Raw genomic sequence first — 27,627 nt, forward strand, 5'->3', positions numbered from 1 at the left:
TCAAACAGCTTGTTATTTAAAAATAACTACTTATTAACAGGTTAATTTATATTAATTCAATTGAGTTATTTTTCTGAAAACAGATTTTCTTTTGTATAGATGGGACATAATTCTCTAGATCGCTCAGAGGAGTAGGTGTTTCCTAGAAAGTCCGAATTTACGAGTTAATCTCTCCCACATAACTTAAATATCTCTTATTCTAATTTAAGTTTTTAAAGCTTATATTCTATCTTGCACTTGAAAAGTAGCTCCTAAGTCTCCTTGCTCTAATTGTAGTGATAATTGTAATTGAGAATGCCAATGATGGTGAAATGGTATTAGCCAAATGTTATCGTAGATTTGCCTCTTTCCTTTCTTCACACATTGGTGATCTCTAAAGGGGATCGTACAGCAGGAGGAGATATGGTCACCTTGAATTGTGAGACTTGCTTCATAAAAAATGAATGGGAAGAAGCCAGGGAATCATTGATTGGCAAGGGTAGGAAGTGGAATTGTAGGAATTTTTTTTTTTAATTTGAAGACATTAAGTCTAAAACTTAGTAATTTTTCAGTAATTAATTTTCTACATTTTTTAAAAAATAGAAAAATAGTTTTCTTTGTGGAATTCTGTTCATATATCATGTCTAGAGACAGGAACCAATGGATTGATATTTATCTACAGTGACATATTCCATGCAGTTCCCTGGCATTCTCTTTCTGTTTTGAGATTTTTAGTTCTATCTAGTAATTACTGATGGAAAAATAATGATTACATAAAAAAAATCTACAGGAATAGAAAAGAAGAAAAAGACCAGTACCCAAATCTTAAGAGCAGTTGAACTTAGATGAGCTCTGTATGATTTTACTTTACAATTTCTACTTTTTTGTATTTTTAGTTATTCTTTGAAAAGTATGCTTTACTGAGTATTTGTAATTTAAAAAATGAGTTTCCATCTTATCTAAATAAAGATCAAATGGATACATCAGGTACCCTGGTCAGTCTGTTCCTTCAACCTATTTTTACCTAGTCAAACACCATGCTGATCATCTTAGGTATCATGATCTGTAATGCTTTCAAGCATAAAACAGATACTAGAATTAAGATATAAAACATTATTTTTGTCAATATTTATTTTTAAACAATCTCTGGAAGAAAAGAAATTTAAAAACAAAAGGCTTAAAATGTATTAATACCTCAATGTTAATAATTTAATATTTTTCCCAAGTGATTGCACAATGCTTAAATACAATTAAACAAAAAAGATGCAATAAAGTATAATCCTGCAACATTATCCCATAATCTGATTTTAGTAAATATTACATTTTTAAGCATTTTATGCTGTTTTTTTAAATATAGTCACTACTATATGTACTTGCTTTTATGTTACATAAGCTTTTAATATATAACTTAATCTCTGAGATGTTATTTGGTTGAGAGGCCTCAGTTGATTAAACACAGATTTTCTTATTATAAAATCAGAAATAATAGTACTTGCTTGTAATAAACGGAAAGGTTAACATTCATAAGATTCATAATCTTTGAGCAGTTACGTATACGCAAAATAATTACTGTAATTAATCTTAGATGATAGTCCCTGGTTTGAGAAAAAGTTTGGTTTGACATTTAGTAATTAAGCCTTATTGCATGATACTTCCTTGACTCAGCAAAGCCACATATAATATAAATCAAGTGTAGAGGACTTTGGTTTTTAAATGTTAAAAATATAATTGGAGCAGATAGGTACCTAAAATATGCTCTTATAATAGGAATTAAAAGCCATTTAGTAAGTCCACATTCATTTCCTATTTGATTGCTAAATATTTAAGAGTTTTTCAGTTATGGCCTGTCTCACAGAGGAAGTATGATTATCTAAATACGTACTTTTTTTTTTAAATAAAGGAATTGCTTGCTCAACTCAGTGCTTTCTGTAAAACATTGCAAAATTGTGCGCATCTGCAAGTTAAAACCATGACATATAGCAGGCTAAAATTGAACAGAATTTGATTGCAGACCTGAAGCTGATTTTCTCAGTTTTGCTACCAAAAACATATCTTGCTGGAGTATGCTCAAGATTTTTTGAACAGTCCATGAAAGGTGACAGGGATGTTAATCTCCACTTCAGCCCGGGCAACTTCACTTAAGTCCTTGGCATTCAGAATCAGGAGATAAGCAGGCTTTTGTCCTGCTCCTGGGCTCACCACCACACTCAGAACTACACCTGTTTATCAGAAGTAAATTAGGCAATATTGAGTTTTTAAAAGCCCAAGCTATAGATTGAATGTCATTGAAATAATATAGGAGGTATTACATTGACAAATATAGAAAACCATATGACCTGACTTCTTTTTCTGACTCTTGTACCACCTGGCATGAGACCACCTAAAGAGGTCTTTTAAACTCTTTATGTACCCTACCTACACTGTAAGCTCTAAGAAGGGAGAGTCTTGTCTGTCTTGCTCACTGCTATATCTCAATATTCTATGACAATGACTACAGCGTAGTAGGTACTCATTAAATACTCACTGAATAAATGGATCTGTTCTTATCTGTAACATACAAATATAGCACCTGCTGTACATACTGTAAAAACTGTGATGATCACATGAAAAGTGTGTATTAAAAGACTTTGAAAGCAGTAAGATATATCATATGTATGGTTTCTAAGATCGATCTGGAAGCTGACTTCCTTCGAACAAAATGAGAACAAATCTTTTACAGCTTCGACTGGATATATAAAATCATTTAGTGTGAAATGGCTCCACAATTCTTTATCTCATTTCTCTTAGTTTTCCATATTTTAATCCCATAGAGTGTAATCTATCTCCCTGTCCCAGCTGAGAAGCAGTTAACTAACACTGCTGATTTGTAATTTGAGTTGCTGTATCTGAGTTGCTGGTGTGGCTCTGGGTCTTTTTTCAAGCCCTAGCTTACCGAAAGAACAAATGAAAACTATTCACAGACCTGCCTTCTCATTCTCTTGTATCTGCTATAATACTTAGCTTCCCTTCTTAGAATTGCTATTTTTTTAGAAATATGTCTTCGTCAGGGAAGGCAAAAACCTGGAATTCATGTTGCCATTTTTTCTTCCTTCTCTCCCTCATCTAGAGCAGACATTGATGCTCCATCGTGACACCAAATGGTGCTTTGACATTTTTTTCTACTGGTAATCAACAAGACCTGATCAAAAGATGAAAATTCTTTTCAAATAGTTTTAATTCTTCAGTACTGCTCTATTTATAGTATTAAGGATCGTTTTTGAGTATTACGGAATAATCAACCTTACTCCTTTCCTAACGAACTAACATACAGAACTGCAGTAAGAAGAGTATTCAGACACAACAATTGCTTTCATTACCATCATCTTCTTCCAAGGCATCTGGGTGAGAAACAAAGATGGGTTCTGATGGGTATGAATCAGGCTCTTGCCAAACCCAAGTTTCTTTAGTTTTGACATTCAGCTTACAGAGCTGTTTGTGAGAAAGAAAAATCAATCAAGCAATCAGTCAATATGCTTTACTTGACTAGCATATACTCAAAGCACTGTTCAAATATTAGTAAGAAGGATTAATTACCCTATCTGGAACAAAGTGATTCAAGCCAAGTCCATACGCATATGTGTAAGGTTTCCCACAATACTTCTGGTAATTGATTTGAGGAAACTCAAATGCTACGAAATAGAGCACATGCTTAGGAAAACTCTTAATCTCTTTGAAAGAAACATTTGTTCACTCCCGTGTGAAGTTTTCTCTAGATCATCTCACCTTGACGAGGCCCTGAAAAGAGAACTTCAGGCTCCAGCCAGATAGTCTCGTCACTGCACAGAATTGCAGTGGCAGTTGTATTGGGGAGCGTGACTAAATTCTTGCCTGTGTCAGCCTAGGAGAGAAGATAACAGAAACCTCAGTGAGCAGGAAAGAATTCAAACAGCCAGAAATGCAGAGTTCTTAAGTCTTGGCTCCTAAGTTCTTTTTTAGGTCAACATGCAGGGAGGAACTGCAGGAAGCTATAGATGAGGGACCCTGGGACGCGACTGGGCAAGCTATCTGTGCCTGTGTCAGTCACTGGCTATGTATCACTGGGAAAGTCACATAACCTCTTAGGCCATCAATTTTCTCTTCAGTAAAATGAGACCATCCTTGAAGAAAATTTAGGGCTCCAAAGAAAGGCCTCTGAAAAACAAAAAAACAAAAACCAAACAAAAATCTCAAAACCAATAATAATAATAATTAATGTTTTTCTGCAGAACAACAAAGACTTCGACTGCCTGAGGGATGAAAGAATGTATATTTCGTTCACACGTAGAATATGTTTTGATTTTGCTTGAAAAAAAAAATCCTTACAGTTATGTTGACAAAAAGAAAAAAAAAAAACGCTGGACCATATGTTTCCTAAGATCTCTTGTCACACACACATGATTTTTCTGATTATTTTATGAAATACCATGAGATTTTTCTAACATATCTACTTATTAATAATTTCATCAAATACTTGATTACATATTTTATTCTAGACTCTATTCTTGGCATTCAGGATGTTTTGGAGAGTGAAGTCCCTGTCCTCATGAAGCCTACATTCTAGTTCAAGGAGATATACAATAAATATAATTAATAAATTTTATAATATACCACAAATGTGGGGGAAAAATAGAATAGAGGAAAAAAGATCAGAAACGTGAAGGGTAAGCGGTTAAAATTTGAATAGATGGTTCGGGTAGGTCTCTTTGAACAGGTGGCAGAGGAGACAAAACTCTTAGAAGATGAGAGAATTAGCAATGCAGATATCTGGGGAAGAGTGTTCACGCTAAGAGAACAAATTGTGCAAAGGCCTGAGGGAGGAGGATGCTGAGTGTGTTTGAGGAGCATCAAAGAGTCCAGTGTGGATTCTATCAACTGAGCTAGGGGAGAGAATAAGAAAGGAAGGTGGGGAGGTCACGAGCCAGGCTGTACAAAGCCTCGTAGGTCATTATGAGGACTTGATCTTTCTCTGTGAGTGAGTGATGGGAAGCCATTGGAGGGTTTTCAGCACAGGAGTGAGATGCTATGATTTATTTTTAGGGTAGCCTTGTTAGTAGGGAGGATCCAAGAGTGGAATCAGGGAAACCAGTTTGTCTTGTAGTAGTCTAGTTGAAAGAAAACAATGGTTCACACTAGGCCAGTAGCATTGCAGTCAGTGAGAAGTGGAAGAAGTGGAGGACAGAGTCAAGAAGATTTCCTGTTAAATAGGATATGGGACGAGGAAGAGGCATGAAAGTAAGAGAGGCATCAAGCATAACACCAAGGTGTTTGACCTGTACAATGTTGATGTCACAACAAAGATAGGAACTACAGGTGGAGTAAATTTTTGGTGGGGGAAGATGAGAAGTTCAAGTCTTGTCTTATTAGACTTGAGATGTCTATTGGGCATCCAAATGCAGATGTGGAGCTGGCGCTAGCAGGTAAGAACCTTGAGTTTAAGAGAAAGCTAAAAATGTAAATGAATAAGGCATGAATATTTAACAACGAGTGAGTGTATAAATGGAAGATAGGGGAACCAAGGCCCTCCAACAAGACGAGGAATGAGAAGGTAGCTGGTTGGGGCAAAAATGTCAAGAGAAGGATTTTGTAAGAGCCTGACAAAAATGATCCATCGAAAAGGGTAGGAGAGTGGTGATCTAGGAAAGATGGGGAGAATTGGGAGAGTGATTTCCCTGAGAATGTGAAGGAGGATGAAAGAGATCAGCTCTGGATAGGAAGATGGATAATTCAGTATATGAGTACAGATGCTGGTGGGTGGGTAGATGTGCTGGCAAGTCTATGGTTCCTTTCTGATTTCTTTCATTTGTTTCAGAGAAAAAGAAAACATAGCCATCAGCTGCATCTGAGTGTGGAGGCGGGAAGTGGGAGGTGGTAAAAGTTTAAAGAGAGGAGGGTGTGGAATATTTAACTAGCAAAGTGAGAGAGTAAGTGAAGCCGGGAAATGTAGCAGAAAGATTTGTGGTCATGCATCTAAAATGGAACCAATTAACATGATTGTGTGTTGTCTGCACTTAGTTCAGCCTCAGAGGTATAAGCATGGAGGGGGTGGAGAGCTGAATTTAACTAGGGTTGTGATTTTGACAAATGACTTTGATAAGGTAAGAAAGAGGCAAGGGAAAGGAAGGTCTACATGAGAAAGTGTTTGTAATTATTGACTGTAAAGCTTAAATTGAGTGAGGAGAGAAGGTAAATCCTCAACGTAGTGAGAGAGAGTGAGAAAGTACTGTGTTCAATGGATTGGAAGTTCCTGGTGGAAATTGCAGTAGGGCAAGTGATGTTGAAAGATAAAAGGTCAGAGTGGGTCATGCATGAAACAGATTATGGAAGGAGTATAGTCTTAAGTAGTGGCAAAGTCGAGGGCATGAGGGATATATATATATATATATATATATACACACACACACACACACACACACATATACATCACTTGGCTATATGATTAGATAAAATGAGATGAAAACTTAGGGAATTTTAAGGGTGAATAGAGGGAACAATGATCTGAAAGCAGCAAAGAAGAAGGACCTCTACCCCAACTCCAGGCCAAGTGGTAAAAGGGCTGTACCCTGTACAGAGGAGAAACTGATTCCCCTGGAAATTACTGTTGGGGAGACCAGTGTCCTTAGGGGAGAGAGCCAGATTTTGGTTAAAAAAGGAGGTTGAAGGCAACATTCTAAGAAGAGAAGACAGGAGATTTTTTCTGGTGGTGGACTAAGAATTAAAAGTAAATAGTGGAAGATTTTCAGAATAGGGAAAGGATGGGAGGTGGGAGCCAATAGAGGAGAAGATTCTGCAAGATTTTGTGAAATAAGGGACTCGAGGTACTTAGTGGTGATGCTGGGAAGAAGCGAGGGGTGTGCACATGTATGCATATTTATGTACATGCATACAATAAGTACAAATGTCTATGTCTATGTTTAATATATTATTTATGTGGTTTCAAGTTGAATTTTTTACTTTGTTCTATTTTGCTTATTTTCATTGTTAAATTAGATTTCCTGTTTGTTTGTTTGTTTGTTTGTTTCTTGAGATGGAGTCTTGTTCTGTTTTGTTTGTTTGTTTGTTGAGATGGGGTCTTGTTCTTTTCCTCAGGCTGGACTGCAATGGCATGTAGCTCACTGTAACTTTGAACTCCTGGACTCAAGCAATCCTCCTGCCTCAGTCTTCCAAGTAACTGGGACCTAAGCCCTTTCTATTTTTCTCTTCATTGCCAAACTTTTAAGAGTGTGCACGCAGTAACTGCTTTCCAGATACTCAACTGCTTACCTTAAGAGCCCTGAAGCCTGACTTCTGTCTCTCTCACTCTATTCCCTTAGAGATCACCAAACCTAGTGCTTTATTCTTAGTCTTCACCCTTTTCAACTTGTCTATGGCAATGGGCACCGTATAACCCTCACCTGCACTCATCTTTGTGACGTTACTCTCTCTTAGTAGGAACTAGGGCTTTCTGGTGGCTCTTGTTTCTTTTTCTGGCTTCTCTTGTTTCTTTTTCTGGCTTCTCTTGTTTCTACCATTTTCTACACATGTTTATTTTCTGGAGCTACTGTGCTTGGCTGTCTTCTCTCTCTGTATTCTCTGGCTCTCAAATTCTTTATTTTTTAAATAAGCAAATTTTAAATGTTTCTTTTGGAAAACCTAATCTAAAATATGATTTCCCCCCCTGCCTGCAGTCTTATCTCTCTATTCTTACATATTTCATTATCATTTCAATACCATTAATTATGGGCTTTTCTTTTGTGTAAAAACCTTCACTGTCTTTCCATTACCAGTTCAATAAAGTGCAAATTTCTTAGCCTGGCCTTAAAGCCTTCTAAGAGTACAACGTACTTTTATAACTTTTTATCCCATTTACTTTACTACTTTTGCCTATGTTTCAACCAATTATAATAGCCAATTCTCTCTGCGTATCTCCCTCTCCACCTATCTGTCTTTCCTCAAACTGTTCTTTCTGTCTTCAGTTGTTCTGCCTCAATCCCATCTCCACCTGCCATATTACTGCCCATTGCAAATAACTATGTTCCATTAATCTCCCCTACATTATCATCTGACTAGCTATTAACAAATCAATTTATCCCTCCTGAGAGTACTACTCCTGTGCTGACATGCATGGCTATTCCTGATTCGGCTTCTTTCTCTCTGATACACTAGGTAACGGGCTCCATGAGAACTAGAAGTGTATTTTATGTACCCACTGCAACAAATAGTATGATGCCTGTTTTAGTGGCTACTCAATAACTATTAGAAGAAAGAGGAGACGGATTTGATGATGTTAGACATTTTTTATGATTATTACAGTTCCCTATTCTATAATTGGGTAATATTTCTTCAGGCCGTGATAACCATACAGTTAGAAAAATCCTTCTTTTTTCTTTATTTTGCAATGTGAATATTTAAGTTAAGTGATCCTCTTTTATTTCCTTAAAGATGATTGTGATTTTTACCATTATTAGCGAAGTAAGAGTTTACTGAAATTAACTGACTCATCCATTTGGTGAGTATTTTGGGAATGCTCAACTACATGTCAGTGATATGCTTCTTAAGGGGAAAGCAAAAATCCTTAAGGTACCCAGATTGATCTCTCTCCATGATCTTTCTTTGGAGCTCCAGATCCATGTACAGCAGCTGCCTATGGAATGCTTTGCTAAGATTGCTAGTGGGTACTTTCAAATTACATCTATAAAGTAAAATTTATTCTTTTTTCTACAAGCTAGCTCCTGTTACTTCTATTTATTTATTTATTTATTTATTTATTTATTTATTTATTTATGATGGAATTTCACTCTTGTTGCCCAGGCTGGAGTGCAATGGCATGATCTCGGCTCACTGCAACCTCTGCCTCCTGGGTTCAAGCGATTCTCTTGCTTCAGCCTCCTGAGTAGCTGGGATTACAGGCATGCACCACCATGCCCAGCTAATTTTGTGTTTTTAGTAAAGATGAGGTTTCTCCATGTTGGTAAGGCTGGTCTTGAACTCCCAACCTCGGGTGATGCACCCGCCTCGGCCTCCCAAACTGCTGGGATTACAGGTGTGAGCCACTGCGCCTGGCCCAGCTCCTCTTACTTCTATGTTTTCAGTTCAGTGAATTATACCATCATTCACTCAACTGCTCAGGATGGAAATCTTGAAGTCATCCTGAACTCCTTCCTCTCCCTTACCCCTCACATGTAATTAGATACCAACTGCTGTTGATTTTGCTGCCTAAATATTTCTCAGCTTTGCATCTTCATCTCTCAGTCACCATTTTCTTAACTCAACTACTTATTCCCTTTTATTTGCCTCATTGCATTAATCCTGTAATAGGGCTTCTAGCCTCTGCTCTAGACTCTCCACTTTCCAGTCTGTCTTCCATGATGCTGCCAGAGTAACTTTCTGAATCACAGATCTAATCATGTCCTAAAATACACTTAAAATACACATTTAAAATACTTAAATGGCTCCCTATATTTATATAACACTCAAAGGCTTATATAGCCCATTACAATATTGCTCCAACCTATCTTTCCAGTCTCTCTGCCCAAAACCCATCTCCCCTACACCCCTAAATAAACCAAACTCAGCAACTACTTCATATTTATAGATGAAATCTTGCATTTTTAACTCCTCCTTGCCTTTATAGACGCCCCTTTGCCTGTCTGTAACACTCAACCTCAACCTTCTCCCTCTTTCTCATTCTTCATAGAGCTTACAAACTTGCTTAAGAGCAGTGGTGTTTGGTTCTAAATTGAGTTTATTTTCTACTACACCATATCTAAGCCTTTGGTACAAAGTTTTACATTCCATGTAGCTGTTTTAATAACCCCTTTTGTGCAACCAGGGAGCAAATAGATATAAAAGAAAGCATATATTCACATACCTATATGTGAGAATTATATTTTATTGATTTTGACTGGTATTTCCATCACACTACAAATTCTAGATGTTACTCTGGTTATTCTAAAAAGACAGTCTCTAAATACAGGGAAGAAAAAGTAGAAATAAAGAGATGACTGTCTATTGTTAGTAATGATTTTTAACCTCTAGTGATATTTTTCAGAAGATTTATAGAAAACCAAAATAATGAACTGGTTTCCCTACAAGAGTACTTTTTGATGCTTCATCTCTCCAGAACTTCAAATTATTTAAACTATTTATATTATTGATAAAGTATCATAGGAATCAGTGGATCTGCACTATTCACCGAGGAAGTATATTTTAAAGACAATTTTGTAAATACAAGAACGGCAGATTTAGAATTTAAAAACCTGGTTCTTATCCTGGCTCTGCTGCAGTTGCTTTTGCTAAGTCACAGTACTCTTCTGAGCTTTAGTTTCATTTGTAAAATGAAGGAAGTTTAATTAGCCTATTTTTAAAGCTCCTTCTAGCTCTCAAATTTCAAGACTTTATGTATAAACATGAGGCAGGAGGACAATTCCTGAGAGAGATGAAACATTCTGGTTAAATCTGAAATCTACAGAGAAGCAGGTTACCTTGTCAATATTCAAAGGAAGTACATATCTCCTAACTTCAGGTTGGGGAGCCTTTCTGGCATTTTTTTTCACCTCTTCCCAGTTCTCACGTAAATTGGCTAAATATAAGTAATTATAAACAAACTCAAATCTGCAAAAATAAAAAGTCAAACATGAGCACAGGCAATGACAAATAATTTTAGAGAGATGATTCTTGCCTTTTTAAGCACAAGTGCCTGCCTGTTCTTTATTCCACAACCCAGAAACTGCTATTGAGCCAGGTGTATCAGAGCCATTTCCTCCCGCCCACACAGGATGAAAATAAAGCAACCTGCTTAATGGATTTGTTTAAGTAACAGCAGCCTTGAGATACTTTCTGTTCTGTCTTCCTGTCACCATTCTGTTTGTGTCCTTAGGTGCTGTTGTCTTCTTAGTGATTTGGCTAGTCTGAAAAACGCATGTCTTTTTCTCCCTTCGCAGAGAAGATGGGGCTCAAGTTTCCCCAGGGATTTTGTCAACTTTAAGTTCACCTCTCAGGTCACAGAATCTTTTGTTTTCAGGTGGGGTTCATGGACCCGATTAGTTTTCAATCATTAATCATAGTTTTGATGTTCAGATTACCTAAACTTCCTACTGCTTTTCCAATTACATTTTTGACTCTCACATAACTCTTGCTGTTTTAGATGTGATTCAGATTGAGTGCAGCAGCTCTGTAAAAACCCCGTAATTTCCAGGAACAATGGGAGGTGTCCCATTTGTCCAGTGTCCTTTCTTACCCTTTCCAGCAGCAGAGATCCACAATCAGAAACCCATTGTCTTCATAGGTGTTGATGTGATGGAAGAGGTTGAAAGGAGAAGTTCTGTATTTATTATTGAGGTACTTTTTCCTTTTTTTGTCAGCAATATGAAGCCAAACCTTGAAAAATGAGGAAAATATTTTGATGCATTTAAAAAGGAAAAAAGTGTACATTATTAAACACATCTTCTTCAGAATCACAAACTTGACAAATATATCTAAGACTTACCCCCATGGTTTCATTGGACTCAAAACAATCCATGTAGTTGGCTCCCCAAAGACTCCATGAAGAAAGGAACTTGAACAGGTTAATTTTGACTGGTGTCTCCACAAAAACGATATAGTTGGGAGTCAGACCAAAACTGTTCAGAAACACAAATGGGCTTGTGAATGAAAGGGCTGATTCTCAAGCCACAGACAAATTTGTATATATGTGGTATGCTCAGTTACAAGAATCAACAGTGCCTACATGAAATTAATTATGTTTAAATTTAGTTTTCTGCAAAAAAATATTGTGATCAGGATTGGTATCAAAGGTAGGCAAAGCAAATCTTTAAACTTGAGTTTTCCTGAAGATTCATAGCAGGCCTTCAAGTTACCTATGAACGTAAGATGGCTTGAATCGGTCACTGCAGGGGAATTGTACAACGATCTCTGACTTGCTTATTGGATCTTCCTTGTCTGAAATAAAGTGGTTTTAAAAGGCTTTGGAAGAGCCTCTTATTTTTTTTTTAATACAAAGCATTTAGAACAGCTTATACAGGCAAAGAAACACATTTTGATTGTTTTAGAGGGGTTATTTTCATTTTCTCCATCATTTGCACTTCTTAGTGAAATTTCATGTGAAGCTGCAAAATCACCCAGGAAAATCCAAATAGCAGCAGATTTGGAAACGTGCACTCAAATAGGGTTGTGGCAAGTGGAGTGTAGTGGAGTCACATCTTGCAATAGCTGGAGGTGGGTTTTAAGTCAGGGGAGTAGGGAAGAAACCTCAGAATGGTCAAAATGCCTTTTGCAACATCTTAAGATGCCCAAAGGATATAGTTTAGATGGGTTTGTGTCAATAGCCCTGTACAGTAATTCTTATGCACATTAAAATTTACTCACTAGTAAGTGAATGGTCCTCAAACTTTAGTGTGCATCAGAATCACATAAAGAGTTTCTTAAAATACTGATTGCAGGCTCCACTCCCAAAATTTCTCATTCAGTCTGCCCAGGACAAGGCTCAAGATTTGTATTTCTAACAGTTTCCTAGGTGATGGTCTTGGTCCAAGGACTACACTTTGAGAACTGTACTAAATAATACTAAACAAAAATCTGTATACATTCAAATAATTCCATCATCAAGGTGGTGAACAATGAACCTGGCAATAAATGAAGAATGAATGGAGAATTCTAGGGTACACTCTTTTTGCTGTAGTTCTTTTTCTATAGTACTTCTATGAGATAACAGATTTGTTTGTAGTTTTGGGAATTAAGCGCAACATATTTAGTACACTCTCATATATGTATGTATGCTATTATGCACACATACATGCTTATTTAATTTAATTTTGCCTAGCACATGAATAAGTGCTCAATAAATGTTTGCTAAGTTTGAATCCTAATTGTATATGATCAAATCCATATATATATATGTACTACATTTTTAATATTCTAGAAGAGAACTTGGACACTTGCTTTCTATATTTTCAAGTCGTCATCCTTTGATATGATGCCCTTGGGCATTAGGCCCCTTATAGGGTAGGGATGAGGGCAGTACTTCTGAAGTCTGAGAGTAATTTAACTATGCACAAAATGCTATTCTGACATTCTTATCTTTCTCACAATACAGTAACTTTCTCACAATATAGACACTTATTTTCAGAAGAGGACAGATTGGTAAACTCACCTGCTTGCAGTGGTGGGATCTTTACAATGTTGTAGGCAATTGAAAAATTTTTTCCAAAGCAATTACCAATATTGTAAACGGTTCCATCATTTTCAATGTGGGGGTGAGCAGTGGCCCCATTGACAGAGACATAGTTGCAAAGATCAACCTACGGAAGTAAAGTGAATGTCCTCCAGTTGAGAGAAGGAAGATACATTATACCTTTGTCCCTAGGTCTGAGGTCATCACTACCCCTTGAACTCTCATCCTAAGTGCACTTCTCTTTCTTCCCATCTCTCTGGATTCTACCCTCTTTCACCTTGAGTTCCCACCTTCATGCAGAACATAATGCCCCCTCATGTGTCTGAATCTGGAGTTACCTGTGACATCTCTTTATTTGATGTATACCATACAGTGCTCTGGTTAGTTACTTTTCTTTTAGCATATGCAGATTGACCTGAAACCATAAGTTTGAGTCCTCAGACTTCTTTATACTCTTATTATTGTATTAGATTTAATTGTATAAGATTGCTAACATTTAATAATTGCTGATTTCCAAAAATGTCAATTTCGTATGGTACTATGTAAATACCAACTATATGTCTTGCACATGGTACTGTATGAGTTTGGAACTGAAAGGGACTTCAAGCTTCATCTAGTATAGAAAGTCTTAATTTAAATAGACTTTAGGAGAACCATGGATCTCTTTTAATTAAATATAAACATTTCTGGCAAAAGCATACAGCATTTAATTCAATTTTATGTCTCATAAGAAGTTTAGAACTACAAATGTAACACAAATCTCTGTTTGCAGAAGGATAAATTGGGGTTCCAGAGAGATCAAGTGTCTTGTTTAAGGATAAAGAGCTAGATAAATCAGCACTAGATTTCCACCTGGGACCTACTTGGTAAAGAGTTATTGAATGAATAATTACTGGAATATATATTTATCTAACCAAAATTATTTCCAATTAATTAGGGAGATTTTTTTAAAGCATAGGACATTTTAGCAACCTTATTTAAATAATAGGCAAGATATTCATTTATTCAGTCAATCATTTATCAAATACTCTGAGCTTTCACTATGTGCCAGGCACTGTATCAGGGCTCAGGAGAGAGAAGATCTTTGCTTTCAAGAACTTCATTCTAGACCCGTGCTGTTCTATTAATACAGGACCACTAATTTTTAGATAGAACTTCAAATTCAGCTCCTCAGTCACATTAGCCACATTTCAAGTGCTTAATAACACCAGGATAGCACAGTTATAGAGCATTTCCATTATTGCAGAAAGTTCTATTGGACAGCCCTGCATTAGACCAATAAGCCGGTGTAAAGCACTGTGAGTGTGCAATGGCATCGTAGAGAAGCGCCATCTAGCCCAGACTGAGGGATGAGGCAGTTTTCCTGAGAAACATGACTCCAACTAATGTTTGAAAGGTGCGTGGAGTTAGCCAAGTGGAGCAGGATGACAGTGTATTCCAGGGAGTGGGAATCCTAATGTAAATGCATAGACTTGTGAAATAATGTGTGCTGTTTGGCCATTACTAGTCATTTAACCTGGCTGCCATGAAGGGCATGCGTAGAGGAGGCGAAATAAGAGTGGGCCAGCCACAAAGACCTTCGCTTGGACTTTATTTGGGAAGTTATGGATTCCCTAGGTGGAGTAATACTTTCATATTTATATTTTAAAAAATTGCTACTGCTGCCTTAAATAAATTGTATTTAAGGGAATCAGGCTGGAGGCAAAGGCACTGGTTAATAACAGTAAACAATCAAAAATTTCACATTTTTAAAATTACATTTTACAGTGCTAGTAACAGTGGAACCTGACTCCTAATAAAGTCTATTCTGCAGCCATACCATAGCTTCTATATTTCTAATTAAAATATCATGTAATTGTAATACAGATTCCCTATCAAAGTCAAATGAATGATTTAGAAACTCAGCTTTTGTTCTTCTCTAAAGGAGCTACACACACACTTGTATATGGTTACACACACACAACATAAACAAGAAAGAGCTATGGGGAGTGTATGTTAAGACATAGTAAATAGTCTGTTGAGAATTATAGATCAGCTTGTGCTATTGAGACTCAATGTTGAGACTATTTTTTTTCTTCTTATTTTTACCAGTACTGCATTTGTGGTTCTGGCTTTTAGTTTCACCTCTTGGTCTCCCAGCTATACTGTATCTCTTTTGCCTTCCCGTACAGCCCACACATGGCTCCCCAAATAAACATCTGAAAATATAGCCCTACTCATACTACTTCTTTGAGCAAAAACTTTCAGTAGCTTCCCATTAGCTAAACAACATATTCCAAATGTATAGCCAATTATTCAAGCTTTTAATTTCATCCTACCCTGTGTCTCAATATTCCCCTTGACATTAACTACTCTAGGCAACTAGTTCTCAACTGGGAGTGTTATTGCCCCCTAGGGGAAGATACGGAAATGTCAGGAGCGTTTTGGGTTTGTATAATGATTGAAAACATGACTGGTGTTTAGTGGATGAGGCCAGGGATGCCAAACCTCTCCCATGTGTGGGACGTCTCCATGATGATGAGTCACCCCCTGCCTAATGTCATACTAATACCTCCACTGAGAAATGCTGCAAGTCTAGTCCAAGGAGATTATTCTCCAGTTTTCATGAACACCTTCTACCTCCATGCTTTTGATCGCTTTACCCCCTCCATCTAGCATATCCTTTCTCTAAATTCACTGAAATCATCCCTCTCTTTTAACTTCCAGCCCAAAGCCTTTCCCTTTAAGCCTTCTTTCACCTGTCCCACCTTGCATTGCCAACTACTTCCAGAAGTAATTCCTTTCGTATTTATGCTTTCTTAAAAGATTTTCCTTCTTAAAAGACTCGTCATATTCTTTGTCCTATTACAGTTACATATTTGATTTCTCCACCTAGACATTAAGTCACCTGAAGACAAGAACAATGCCTTGTAAATAGGTGTATCTTAGTAAATATTGGTTCAAAATGTGTATCTAAGGACTGCTGCATTGAGATTCCCTAAGTTCTCCATAAAATTTGTCACTTCCAAATATTGCTGAAATTTTGTTCTATGCTATTTCATTCAAGATATAGCTTTATTTCTAATAAGAAGTATCTATAAGAAGGGGCAAATTAGTGCAACATACTTGCCTAGAACCATAAATAGCATGATTTTCAGTATCAGTAGCTATAATTTTTTGAGCACCCAGTATTTACCAGGTTCATGCTAGCTTATAAAAGCTATGAAAGGCAGGGACCATGTTACCCTACTCATTGATCTATCCCTTGCATCTAGCATAAATTCTGAATATGGAAAGCACTTGATAAGTATTTGTGTCATGAATGAATGAATGAATATGTTAGGCATTTTATATGGGTTCTCTCCAATCCATGTAAGTGTTTAAAATTTTAGAGATGAAGAAACAATGTTTGTCCTATGTCAAATAGCTAGTCATTGTTGACAATGCTAGGATTTGAAACTTAATGTGGCTCTCATGTTCTTTTCACCAAATTACACCAATTGCAGGAAAGCATCATAGACAGAGGCAATCAGTGCAGTCCATTTGGAGCTTGGAATGGTCATTCTGTGTGTCCTCATCAAGTTAGAATCATACATTCGCAGCATGAATAATTTATGTTGAATTAATTTTAAGTTCCAAATTCTAAATTCCTGAACATCACCTAGCACTGTGTCCCACCTGCTTAATTGTCTCCAAGGTCTCTGGATTAATCTTTGTAATAAAGTTGGTCTCTGTGCAAGCGTAGTAATCTTCCCCCACTGGGTAGACATTAACAAGGGCATTGTCAGTAACCTCTACTCCTCGAAAGTAAGAAAAAAACCTGTAGAAACAAATGAATTTTTCAGTCCAGTAATTTTCAAGCCATGAGAGAAAAAGGGCTAATATAAAATGTCTTGAGTAACATTCAGTTTGGGTTCAGTAACCTGGAAAATATATTCTTGCAGGGATCTGGGAAAGCACAGGTGCCAAATTCTGTTATGACGATCCTTTTCTCAGTCATTGCCCGTACGTAAGCATCAGTGCGGATGAACCTGAAGGACATTGAAACATAGGGAAGAGTATAGACAGGAGCAATCCGTACAGCCCATGTGGAGCTTAGAATGGCCATTCTATGTGTCCTCATCAAGTCACAATCATAAATGCACAACATGAAGAATAAAGGGTTTTATTAGCTCACTTTCTTGGGGTGACCAAGCAGGGCAGACACAATGTCCCTTGAGTTTACGTTTTTATCTTTTAAACCTCACAGATGAGGAAATTGAGGTTCAGAGGAGTTAAGTGATTGGCATATGTGGCCAAGCTGGGTTAGAATCCTAGTTGGCCAGAGCAGGACAACATGAACTTTCTATATCACACCATGCAGCCCTGGGGGAAGTTCACATAGGACCCCCACCCCCATCACCTATAACCTATCAACCTAAACTTACTGGGAAAATTCCGGACATGGTGTGCTGAATTATATTCTTCTCAATCTCCCTCTGTTACTTTTATGTTTTTCTTCAATTTTAACATTTATTTTGTTTTAAAAATTAAGTATTCTTGAATTCCATCTCTTGCCTAGACAGGTCTGCTAAACCATATCTTAGAGTAGACAGCATACTTTGCCCAGGATTTCTGATATGGAGAGCCAGTTAAAATCTGATTTTGTACTTTTAATTAATTAATTAATTAATTAATTTGAGATGGAGTCTTGCTCTGTTGCCCAGGCTGGAGTGCAGTGGCGCAATCTTGGCTCACTGCAACCTCCGCCTCCTGGGTTCAAGCTATACTCTTGCCTCAGCCTCCCAGGTAGCTGGGACTACAGGCGTGTACCACCACGCCCGGCTAATTTTTCTGTATTTTTAGTAGAGACGGGGTTTCACCATGCTAGCCAGGCTGGTCTCAAACTCCTGACCTCAAGTGATCTGGCCGCCTTGGCCTCCCAAAGTGCTGGGATTACAGATGTGAGCCACCCACACCCGGTCGCACTTTTATGAAGAAGAAAGAGTACCCTGCTCTGTCGAAGGTATAGGAAGCTTTATCTGAACTCCACAGTAAGCTCTTATGGCTACATTTCTGCTTGACATCATCCGTTTCTCTTCTATTATCATGCAAGTTGTCCTGCTTCAAGTCCCCTTTCACTTTTTCTTTACAGGTCTTTTCAAAATGCCTGAAATCTGTGGTGATCAACAAAGCCACTAATAGGCTTGAACACGAAAGCAGAAGACAAAGTATTTGTTAATACTTCATTAATGGGGGTTTCCTGGAATGATGATTTAGGGCTTCAAGGCTTTTTAGCAATAATCTCTTGTTTTCAGAAAACTTCTCTTTCTGGTAGCACTATGACATGTTTCATCCTTCACTACTTTGTGGCAGCCCCCGACCCCTTTCCCAGTGGCCTTTCCAATTTTATAAAAAGAAAAAGGAATCAAGATGGCCAATGGTTTAATAATAATAACAAGCATCACAATAGCTATTATTATGAAGTGCTTTGTGTGTGCTAGACACTGCGCTCTCATTTAATGCTTGTAATGAATATATAAGGTAGATTCTATTATTTCTCCCATTTTACTAATTATAAAACCAAGAATTGGAGGTCAACATCTTGCCAAGGTTACCCTCCTAGGCAAGTCATGTCTGTTGAATACAGGGTTTAAAGCCACTCATGTTGGACCCCAAAGCCCTAGGCTTTAGCTTCTCCTTTATTCCATGATAATGTTCCCTCGTATCCATGCAGACACACTGGCCCAGGTACATTGTGAGAAGAAAGTGGGTATATAGGTTGCCTCCTGAGTTCAGAGGTGAAAACTCACATGGGAGGAGGAGCCAAGCTAGGCCCTACTTTGAGGAGGAGGAGTGGCATGGAGTGCTGCTTTACCTTCTGTGGTATGTGACATGTCCTTCTTTAAAGTCAAACTTGTGCAGGAGGGCTTGCCCATCAAACAGGTGGTAAAATGGCTCAGATCCAACTTCAAAGAGTCCTGGCCCACATCGAAGGAGACTGCCGGTGAGCCAGAGGGGGATCCTGCCTGTGATGAAGGGGAGACAGAACATTGCTTCTTATCCCTGCCTTGGGCTAGGCTTGTCCTTGGTAAGGCAGAGTATATCAGCAGCCTGATTGGGCAGCTTCTTCCTCATAGAGCTGGCAGTGATTTTCATTTCCAGCCCTCGCGCTGGACAGCACTTAGAAAATGTCTGCTGACTTGACTCACCTTCACTAGGAGATCACACCTTGGGAAATGTGGAGATGCCCCAGAGTGTGGATAAAGGGTTGGAAGGAGTGAGGGAGAAGCATCTTGAGAGGATTGGGACTCTCCACCTAATAGATTTCCCCAAACACCAATCCATTTGCCTTTTGCCATCTCATTTTTAAGAAGATTTTCAAATTTCTTGATATATTTTAGTGGAGTGAGGAGTAGAAGTATGGATTAAGAGTGAGAATAAATGTATTTTAAAAAGATGTGTCTATAGAAAAAAGACTATTTAAATGAAAAAACAGGAATCCTGGCTCTTTAAAATCTAGAGCTATATCCCTCTGTGAGTGTGAGCTACTGCTTGGATGAAAGTCAATCTGCTGTAGCAGAAAGTCCACAGGGTTGGATGTCAGGGACATGACTTCTGGTTTAGGATCAGCTCACATGTCATCTCTGGACCTCAGTGTTCTCATCTGCAAAATGTGGGGTACCCAAGATAGTCCTTAAGGCCTCTCAGCTTTCACAGTTAGGTTTGTCCCTAAAAACCCAGGTAGGGCCGGGCGCGGTGGCTCGCGCTTGTAATCCCAGCACTTTGGGAGGCCTAGGCGGGCGGATCACGAGGTCAGGAGATCGAGACCACGGCGAAACCCCGTCTCTACTAAAAATACGAAAAATTAGCCGGGCGTGATGGCGGGCGCCTGTAGTCCCAGCTACTTGGAAAGGCTGAGGCAGGAGAATGGCATAAACCCATGAGGCGGAGCTTGCAGTGAGCTGAGATCATCCCACTGCACTCCAGCCTGGGCGACTGAGCGAGACTCTGTCTCAAAAAACAAAACAAACAAACAAACAAAAAAACAAACAAAAAAAACCCCAGGTAGGTTTATCCTTTGAGAAGGGCAGTGATTGACAGTGCTTCCTTGATTCCTACCAGTGAAGTTTTTCAAGCAAATGGATTATTTCCTATAACTAATAATGATACTGATAGTAATAATTACTGTCTATTGATCACTTTGTGTTGGATAGTGGGTGAATCATTCTATTTACATTACTCCACTTAATTTTCACAACATCCTCATGACGTAAATTTTGGGTTTTTGTAGGTAAGGGAATTGAGGCTCAGAACGTTTAAGTAACTTAGAGGATTCACAGACAGTGAAATGATAGAGCTAGGTTAGCATCTACATCTGCCTCCCAGCAGAACCAACATTCCTCTAATAAAATGGGCATGAAACCCACCACCCTTTAATACTCCCAGGTGCTTGTCACTGGGCCTTCATTTATTCAGACACCAATGGAACAGACATTTATAGGACATTTACTATGTGCCAGGCACTGAGCTAGGCACTGACAGTTTGAAGATGACAAAGGTGTAATCCTGATCCTTAGGGAATTCCAATTAGGTAGCGTTTTTCTGCATTAGAGAAATAAAGTAAAGGCGAATGAAAGAAAATGGGTTCTTGCTATAAAAAGCCCAAACCACCTGATCCCTCTCCCTGTGACCCACAGGGGGAGTCTGCACTGAGAGACGCCAAGGAATAGGAAGCCAGAGAAGAGAGACTGACATAAAAGAGGATGGCTTCAAGATGGGCGAGACCAACCTGTTACATGAGCTGTGAGCGGCGAGGACAGTTCCTCCACAGTTTCAAACAGTTTCTTGTAACCACCAGCAGGATGCTCAACCCTGAAATGGTGGAAGAATAAGGAAGAAGCCCATGTTGATGCTCAAAGTCCGCAGAGATAGAGGCAGAGCTGCAGGAGAGAAGGCACTCTAGGGCTGGCTCAAAGCCTGTTCACTCCTGCCGGTCTAGTCTCAGCTGGGTGGGGGTGGGGGTGGGGGGAGAAGCGAAGGTGAGGGCGGGAGGAGCACGTGAGGCTGGGGGTGGGGAAGACTACTCAGGTATGGAAGGGGGTCCCAGATCACTGCTCTGATGTCAAGAGACATGACCTCTCTTTTAATGTCAATGGTTACAGTGAACTTAATCCTGTCCTCTGCAGTTTTTCCTTACTTCGGAAGACAAATCAATCAATCCTACTGCCATCAGTTCACTTCCTGAAATTTGTTCCTAAACAGGGTCCTTCCCACAGTATTCTCCCACCCTATCAACATGCTCAGCTCACAGCATCATTGATTTTCTTGCCTCAAGGAGAGACCCATTTATCTCCTTCCTAGGGGTTGAGAGATGACAGCTTTTTGGGTCAGGTACCTCATCTTTCATTATTCACTCATATTATACCATAATTTTTTCCCCATCATCTCATTTCTCTACCAATCCCCAAGACCTACAGTACTTTTTCATCATAGTCAGACCAGGAGATTCAGGTTCTATATTTTTGTTTACTTTCTACATCCTCTGTTCAGTTTCATGTTGTAACTTCAAAGAGTGGAATCTCTGACCAGACTCAATTATAATAATTACCTTTTACTAAACAATTACTATGTCCTACATACCATAAAAAGAACTTTGCATGGTATTATCTCTTTTAAATCTCACAGTAACATAATGGAGTAAAAGCTATTGTGACATCTTTCTATATACAGGAAAAGCTAGACTTAAAAAGTTAGGTAATTTGTCCAAAGTCACACACTAGGAAATGACTGGGCAAGGAGTGGAGCCCAAGTCTGTCTGAAATCCCCATACTCAAGACTGCTTCCAAACCCCGGGCTAAGTCACACAAACCCCCCATAATTTGGACCTGAATTCTAGCTAGTTGCTTTAATACATAAGCAGGAAAAAATTTCCCCACCAAAATTCAAGGGTCTTTCCTAAACAGGTCATTAATCAATGCCTTCTCTTCAGGAGCCCTTGAAATAGCACATTTATCATGAATCCATGAAGGTGTTTTAAAAAAGTCTCCCAGAGATACTTACTGGATAGACATTTTCTTCCAGTTCAGGATCCAGAGTTCTGGCACCAACTGCAGAATGAAGAAGGAAGTTCTCAGCCAGGGGCCTTTTTATGCCTTCTAAATCCCTTAAAAGGAGTTATGGCTTTGGGAGCCCTTCCCCACCCCTTCAGCTGAGGGAGGGGGAACAGAAGTTGCTTTCAGCTCTCAGATCCCCCTGATGCTTGGCTTTATTTGGGCTTGCTGTTCCCATAACAGTTGTTTGGCTGTTTTCCAGAGACCTCAATCCTTCCCAAGGAGAATGAGAACAGATTAGAAAGAAAGGAGCTAGGTGGGAGTGGCCAGCGTCAGGCCTGAGCTGATCCCAGTCACCCCACTGGACCTTGGCACCATTCTCTGGGGCCCACCTCCCCCTAATACCTCTGTGCCTTCATTCTCACCCTCATTCATTAACTCACTTATTTTTAAAAATATCTATTACATACCACCTATGAACCAGACAGAGATGGGTATTGTCCCTGTCCCTGTCTTCACAGATCTTATAACTCTGTAAGAGTTATAGTAAACAAAGTATTCAACCATGTTTGATTAGTGCTAAGATTGGAGAAGTATAAAATGTTATGGAAGCACATTGTGCACCTCTAACCCTCTCTAGCAACCTTATTGATACCATTCAGTGCCAATATTCTTCCAACCAGGTTGAGGACTTTTGATTTGCTGAGAATGAAATTCTGCATATCTTTGCTTGTCACTAATGCCTGTCTGCTCTCTGCCTCACCTTCTTGTCCATTGGTATATGTTTGGCACTCTGAGAGTATACAGCATCAATTCATTCATATCTCCAATACTCTTTCATTAAGTCTCAGTTGCTTGCCAGCACAGACAAGGTACTGCCCAAAGAAGTCCTTGGAAAACAGGCAAGATATATACTATACCAGCTAACAACCTTAACATTTTTTTTGAGAAACTCATTAACAATTTTAAATTTAGTGTGCAGTTATGGCTACTTACCCTAGGGGTCTTCTTCAACAAAACTGTATAACAATTAATCCAAGTGCTTCCCAAGATATACAACAGTAGCTTCATTTCCTTACAGTGAGGGCATAGGCATGTGATGGGCTCCACCCGTTAGGGACAGTGGTAGAAGTCCTAATGGTAGCACCTGGGGCTTAGCATCCATAATATCTCTGCCCATCCAAGGCAGTTGTAGTGTCTCCATTCAACAGTGGAGCCCGGAATATTGTTACTGGCTGGGTAGCCTCCAAGCTCCATCCTTTAGCCATCCCAGAGATTGTTAGCTCTCTAATATTTACAATATTTGCGTTCTGCTTTATTAGAGTTAGTTCCATTATTTGCAGCTAAGAGCCCTATGCCTATAAAATGATGGTAGTATAAGATACTACCATCATATTTTGGGGGGTATAATCACTTTTGTTGGATCTTGGAGAGTAATAGAAGAGGAGATTAATATCTATCTTTCCACATTAAAAGACCTGTTTCCAAAATATTTCAAATAAGAAACTTCTCCTCAAAGTACAAGGATAATCCAAATCTTCTTAAACCAGCAATAAAAGCATAAAATTTTTATTTAGAATTAAAGCAAATACTTCTGTATCACAAACACAATATTAAACTTCAATAAATATACCACTAATTTGGAGTGAGCACTTATTTGCACAATACCATACTTTTTTTTTTGCTATGAGAATGCTTTATTAGGCAAAACCATATACTATGAAAGTGCTTTAAAATGCAACAGGAGGAGATGTGAAGACACAAAGAACAAGTGCCTAGTGACACATGGATATCAGAACACACCAAGTAAAGTATCCACACTGCTTCCACCCTTTACCAAGAAAAGGAAGGATCTAGGCCACCTCCTCCTCGTCACCGTAGGATGCTGTGGTACCACCCAGGAAGAACATTGATACTGGCATTAGGAACCTCCAGGAGAAAAAGGAAGTATCTAAGCTGAGATGGGATAAATATATAAAAGTTAGCCAGTCAAAGGGCAGGTAGAAGAGTGTTCAGGCACAGCTTGTGTTATTTATAAAAGTCTAGAGGCTAACATAAGGTGGGAAAATAGCTAGAGATGAAACTGGACTAGAGATAATCATAGGCCAGATTGTGTAGAACATCATAAACTAGGCCAGGCACAGTGGCTCACGCCTGTAATCCCGGCCCTTTGGGAGGCCGAGGTGGGCAGATCACGAGGTCAGGAGATCGAAACCATCCTGGCTAACACGGTGAAACCCCGTCTCTACTAAAAATACAAAAAATTATCCGGGTGTGGTGGTGGGCACCCGTAGCCCTAGCTACTCGGGAGGCTGAGGCAGGAGAATGGCGTGAACCCAGGAGGCGGAACTTGCAGTGAGCTGAGATCGTGCCACTGCACTTTAGCCTGGGTGACAGAGCGAGACTCCATCTCAAAAAAAAAAAAAAAAAAAAAAGAACATCATAAACCATTTACAGAAATCCAGACCCTTGTCATGAGAAAAGGGGAATCACTGAAATATTTTATCCAGAGGAGTGACATGATCTGATTTGCATTTTAGTAGGACGACTTAGAATGCATTGTGGATAATATACTGGAATAGGAGATTTGGGCAAGACAAATTAAAGGGAGGCACAGATCAAACAAGTGGAGATAGCTGTTGTAAGCAGGTACACTGAGGGATGGATACGAATAGTGAAATTCAAGAGATACTTCAGAGGAGGCCTAATCTAACTCTGGGACTGGTAAATGTGTTGGGGAAATAAAAGGCATAAAAAAGGATTACCGGTGGGTTTCTGGTTTCTGGTACAATTCATTCAGATAATGCACACCGTGTGTGTGTGTGTGTGTGTGTGTGTGTGTGTGATGTTTCAGGGATACAGAGAAAATGAATTCTGATTGTGATTTGAACTTATTTATTAAAGGAGAAGATCCCCGGGGCCTGTAATCATTTGAGAGCCTAATAGGGAGGCTGAATGAGTTAGCATCTGAAGGATAAGCTCAGTGTTGACATAGAAAAAAGATGGAGGTGGCATTCTTAGGGAAAGATGCAGAGTGAGAGAAGGCAGAGGAATGAGCATGTTAGAAAGACTTTCTCCTGCAGCATTTTTGTTGGATTTTATTTTCTCAGCAGTCTCTTCTCTTCGAGAAGAGCTACAGGCCATGTTGTCATACCTGTACACTGTCAGTTCATTGGAGAGAAATTCCACTAATATCAAGACCCAGCAGCTTTTTAAAATTTTCACCTCTCCCCTCCCATTACAAGAGGCTGAAAGAGAAGTCTTTGTCGGAAAGAAAGCGTATACTAGTTGAGAGAGAGAGCATTAACAAACTGCATTTAAGTTCACCTCCTGGGAGATGAGAATCCGGTCTTGCTGGTGCCCGTGTCTGCACCAAGTGCCTTTCTTAGATATCCCTGTGCTGCCTTTGGTGTTCTGGGGCTATAACCACATTGTTTAAGAACAGCAACTGGTTTTAGCACTTTTTGCATTGTTTTGCGTCTGTGGTATCCTTTATGCTTCAACGTATAGATCCTAGAAGTCAGCTTCTTGAAGGATATTTCTTTTAAAAGTACAAATCATGGCAATTCATTCTAGGAATGCTCACAAACCCGTAGGCCATATGAATCATCAAATTAGTACGCTTGGAGAAATTCAGGATGAAAACTAATTTCTGTGTATTAAATTTCATTGAACCCTGAGCTCCTCAGGTATAAGACAGGGAAAATATGCAAAAGCATTCTTTAGCCAGAAGTATTCCATATGAATATTAAGTAATGCTTATTAATGTCAATTCTCAGGAAGTTTGAGAGTGTCTAATCTTCTAGCTACTACTTCCTACCTCAGAAGTAACCCATTTTTTTCTTATTCTGCCATTGGTGTGAAGTTAAAGATCAGATGTCCACATCCTTTCAAAGCATGATTTTGACCTCTTTGCTCCTATATCCTCAAATGTAGACCTCTTTTCTAGGTCTAACTTTATCTTTCTGTGGTTTCAGTGTGATACACCGGATCCCCAATGTATTGTTACTTCTCTTTTCATCATCTCCTTTTATTCCTTCCCCACCTTAATTTTTTGTCTTTTGGTAAAATCAGATCTTTATGTCCAATTTCTGTGTCTGCCTAAGAAACTGTTATTTTGACATACTTTGGTGTATTTACCAAAATAATATTCCATGAATTAAAATAGCAAAACACCTTTCTACAGAGATTTCTAAATAGAAACTGATTCCACATTTCTTTGAAGAAACTGGTTTAGAGGGTATTATAAAAGCTGCTTTTTCATCCTGATATTAGGCAGATCAGCTGGGGCCTGCAGGTCATGGTGAGGAGTTTGGATTGAGTTCTGAGAGCAATGGGAAGATATTCAGGGCTTTAAACAGGGGAATGACTGAGGGATCTGATTTATGTTTTGGAAAAAAATCACTCCCACTGGTATTTGAAGAATGGATTATAAGTGTCTAGAAAGGAAGTAGGGAAACTGGCAGTTCATTTCAGGTGAGGTGATGATGGTGCTTAGATTACAGTAGAGCAATGCATATGGAAAAAAGATTGAAAGATTTGAGATATGTTTTGTAGGTAGAAATTATAGGACACATGATAGGTTGATATATATGGGATATAAGAAAATGAGTTAAAGATCATCACCTATCTATTGCTAACATTGTAGCATAAAAGCCAAACAGCAAACCTCAGTGTCACACAAGAGTAAGTTTCTCGGGTGGTTGGCTAGGTGTATCTGCAATATGTCTTAATTTGCTTTCATAACTGGAGTTTACCTTGCTGTCTAGATACTGGCTGAAATAAGTGAGGTTATTTGGCTCTGCTATACCTCTCCTCTCCAGCAGGCCAGCCAGGGCTTATTCCCCTGGCAATGACAAATGAAAGAGCAAGTGATAACAGGAGAAGCCGCTTAAGGCCTAGGCTCAGAACTGATCTACTGTCACTTTCACCACTTTCTACTAGCCAAAACAAGTCATGTGGCCAGCTTAGACTTTGAGTGGGGTGAAAATAGCTTTGACCTTGGTAGTCTTCAGTGAGAAGGACTACAGTGTCACACTGCAGAGGTCATGAAAACAGGGAAGGATGTAGAATTGAAAGCATTTTTTCAGCACATGGGAGACCCAAATTCGATTTCTAGGTTTTAGAAAGAGCAATTGAATGACTGTCAAACTAGTCTCCAGGACTAGGGGAGAAATTGCTGAGTGGAAATGGGTATATTACGAATTCTCAGTTAAACGTGAGATGTGAGAAGCCTGTAAGACATTCATCTTCTCCAAGACACTTACTTGTCCCTCTTGCTCCTTCCCCAATAGCAGCCCTCATGCTACCTACCCTGAAGGAATTTTCTCAGTAGAGGTAGGATTTGACCCAAAGTAGTCTGAGCCTACATTTTATAAGTATTTCTTCCATCCACATATAGAAGTTCTAGCAAATATAATTTTCTCATTTTCATTACATGCTCAATGATACTTTAGTACTCCTTATAGACAG

The 27,627-nt window shown here is 38.8% G+C and overlaps 1 protein-coding gene and 1 long non-coding RNA gene across 7 annotated transcripts in view; one reads left to right on the forward strand and one right to left on the reverse strand.

Moving 5' to 3' along the window:
• Window positions 1–23,794, forward strand: part of LOC124904198 (uncharacterized) — a 31,473-nt gene extending 7,679 nt beyond the window's left edge. Inside the window, exon 2 of the long non-coding RNA XR_007066164.1 lies at window positions 20,803–23,794. This is a non-coding gene — a long non-coding RNA (uncharacterized LOC124904198). The remainder of the gene's footprint in view (window positions 1–20,802) is intronic.
• Window positions 1,093–22,225, reverse strand: RPE65 (retinoid isomerohydrolase RPE65). 6 transcript variants are annotated; one of them, NM_000329.3, is made up of 14 exons: window positions 22,166–22,225; window positions 20,895–20,977; window positions 18,981–19,131; window positions 17,047–17,154; window positions 16,802–16,943; window positions 13,124–13,271; window positions 11,832–11,913; window positions 11,462–11,594; window positions 11,213–11,352; window positions 10,458–10,587; window positions 3,742–3,856; window positions 3,553–3,647; window positions 3,336–3,447; window positions 1,093–2,198 (listed from the first exon to the last, which is right to left on the reverse strand). In NM_000329.3, the coding sequence occupies exons 1-14, from the start codon at window positions 22,174–22,176 to the stop codon at window positions 2,047–2,049; spliced, it is 1,602 nt and encodes a 533-aa protein (NP_000320.1). In that variant the 5' UTR covers window positions 22,177–22,225; the 3' UTR covers window positions 1,093–2,046. The 6 variants fall into 6 exon arrangements, with proteins under 6 accessions (NP_000320.1, NP_001393786.1, NP_001393785.1 ...); NM_001406857.1 differs by lacking the exon at window positions 20,895–20,977; NM_001406856.1 differs by lacking the exon at window positions 18,981–19,131.

The sequence above is a fragment of the Homo sapiens genome, chromosome 1 (genome assembly GCF_000001405.40).
Source record: "Homo sapiens chromosome 1, GRCh38.p14 Primary Assembly".
Lineage (NCBI taxonomy): Eukaryota > Metazoa > Chordata > Mammalia > Primates > Hominidae > Homo > Homo sapiens.

Coding starts and splice junctions, on each gene's coding strand:
- RPE65 (NM_000329.3), bottom strand. Junction 16,944..17,046: donor TGCAAGAATATATTTTCCAG/GTTACTGAACCC, acceptor TTGTTTCTACAG/GTTTTTTTCTTACTTTCGAG. Junction 11,353..11,461: donor AGTCCAATGAAACCATGGGG/GTAAGTCTTAGA, acceptor TCATTTTTCAAG/GTTTGGCTTCATATTGCTGA.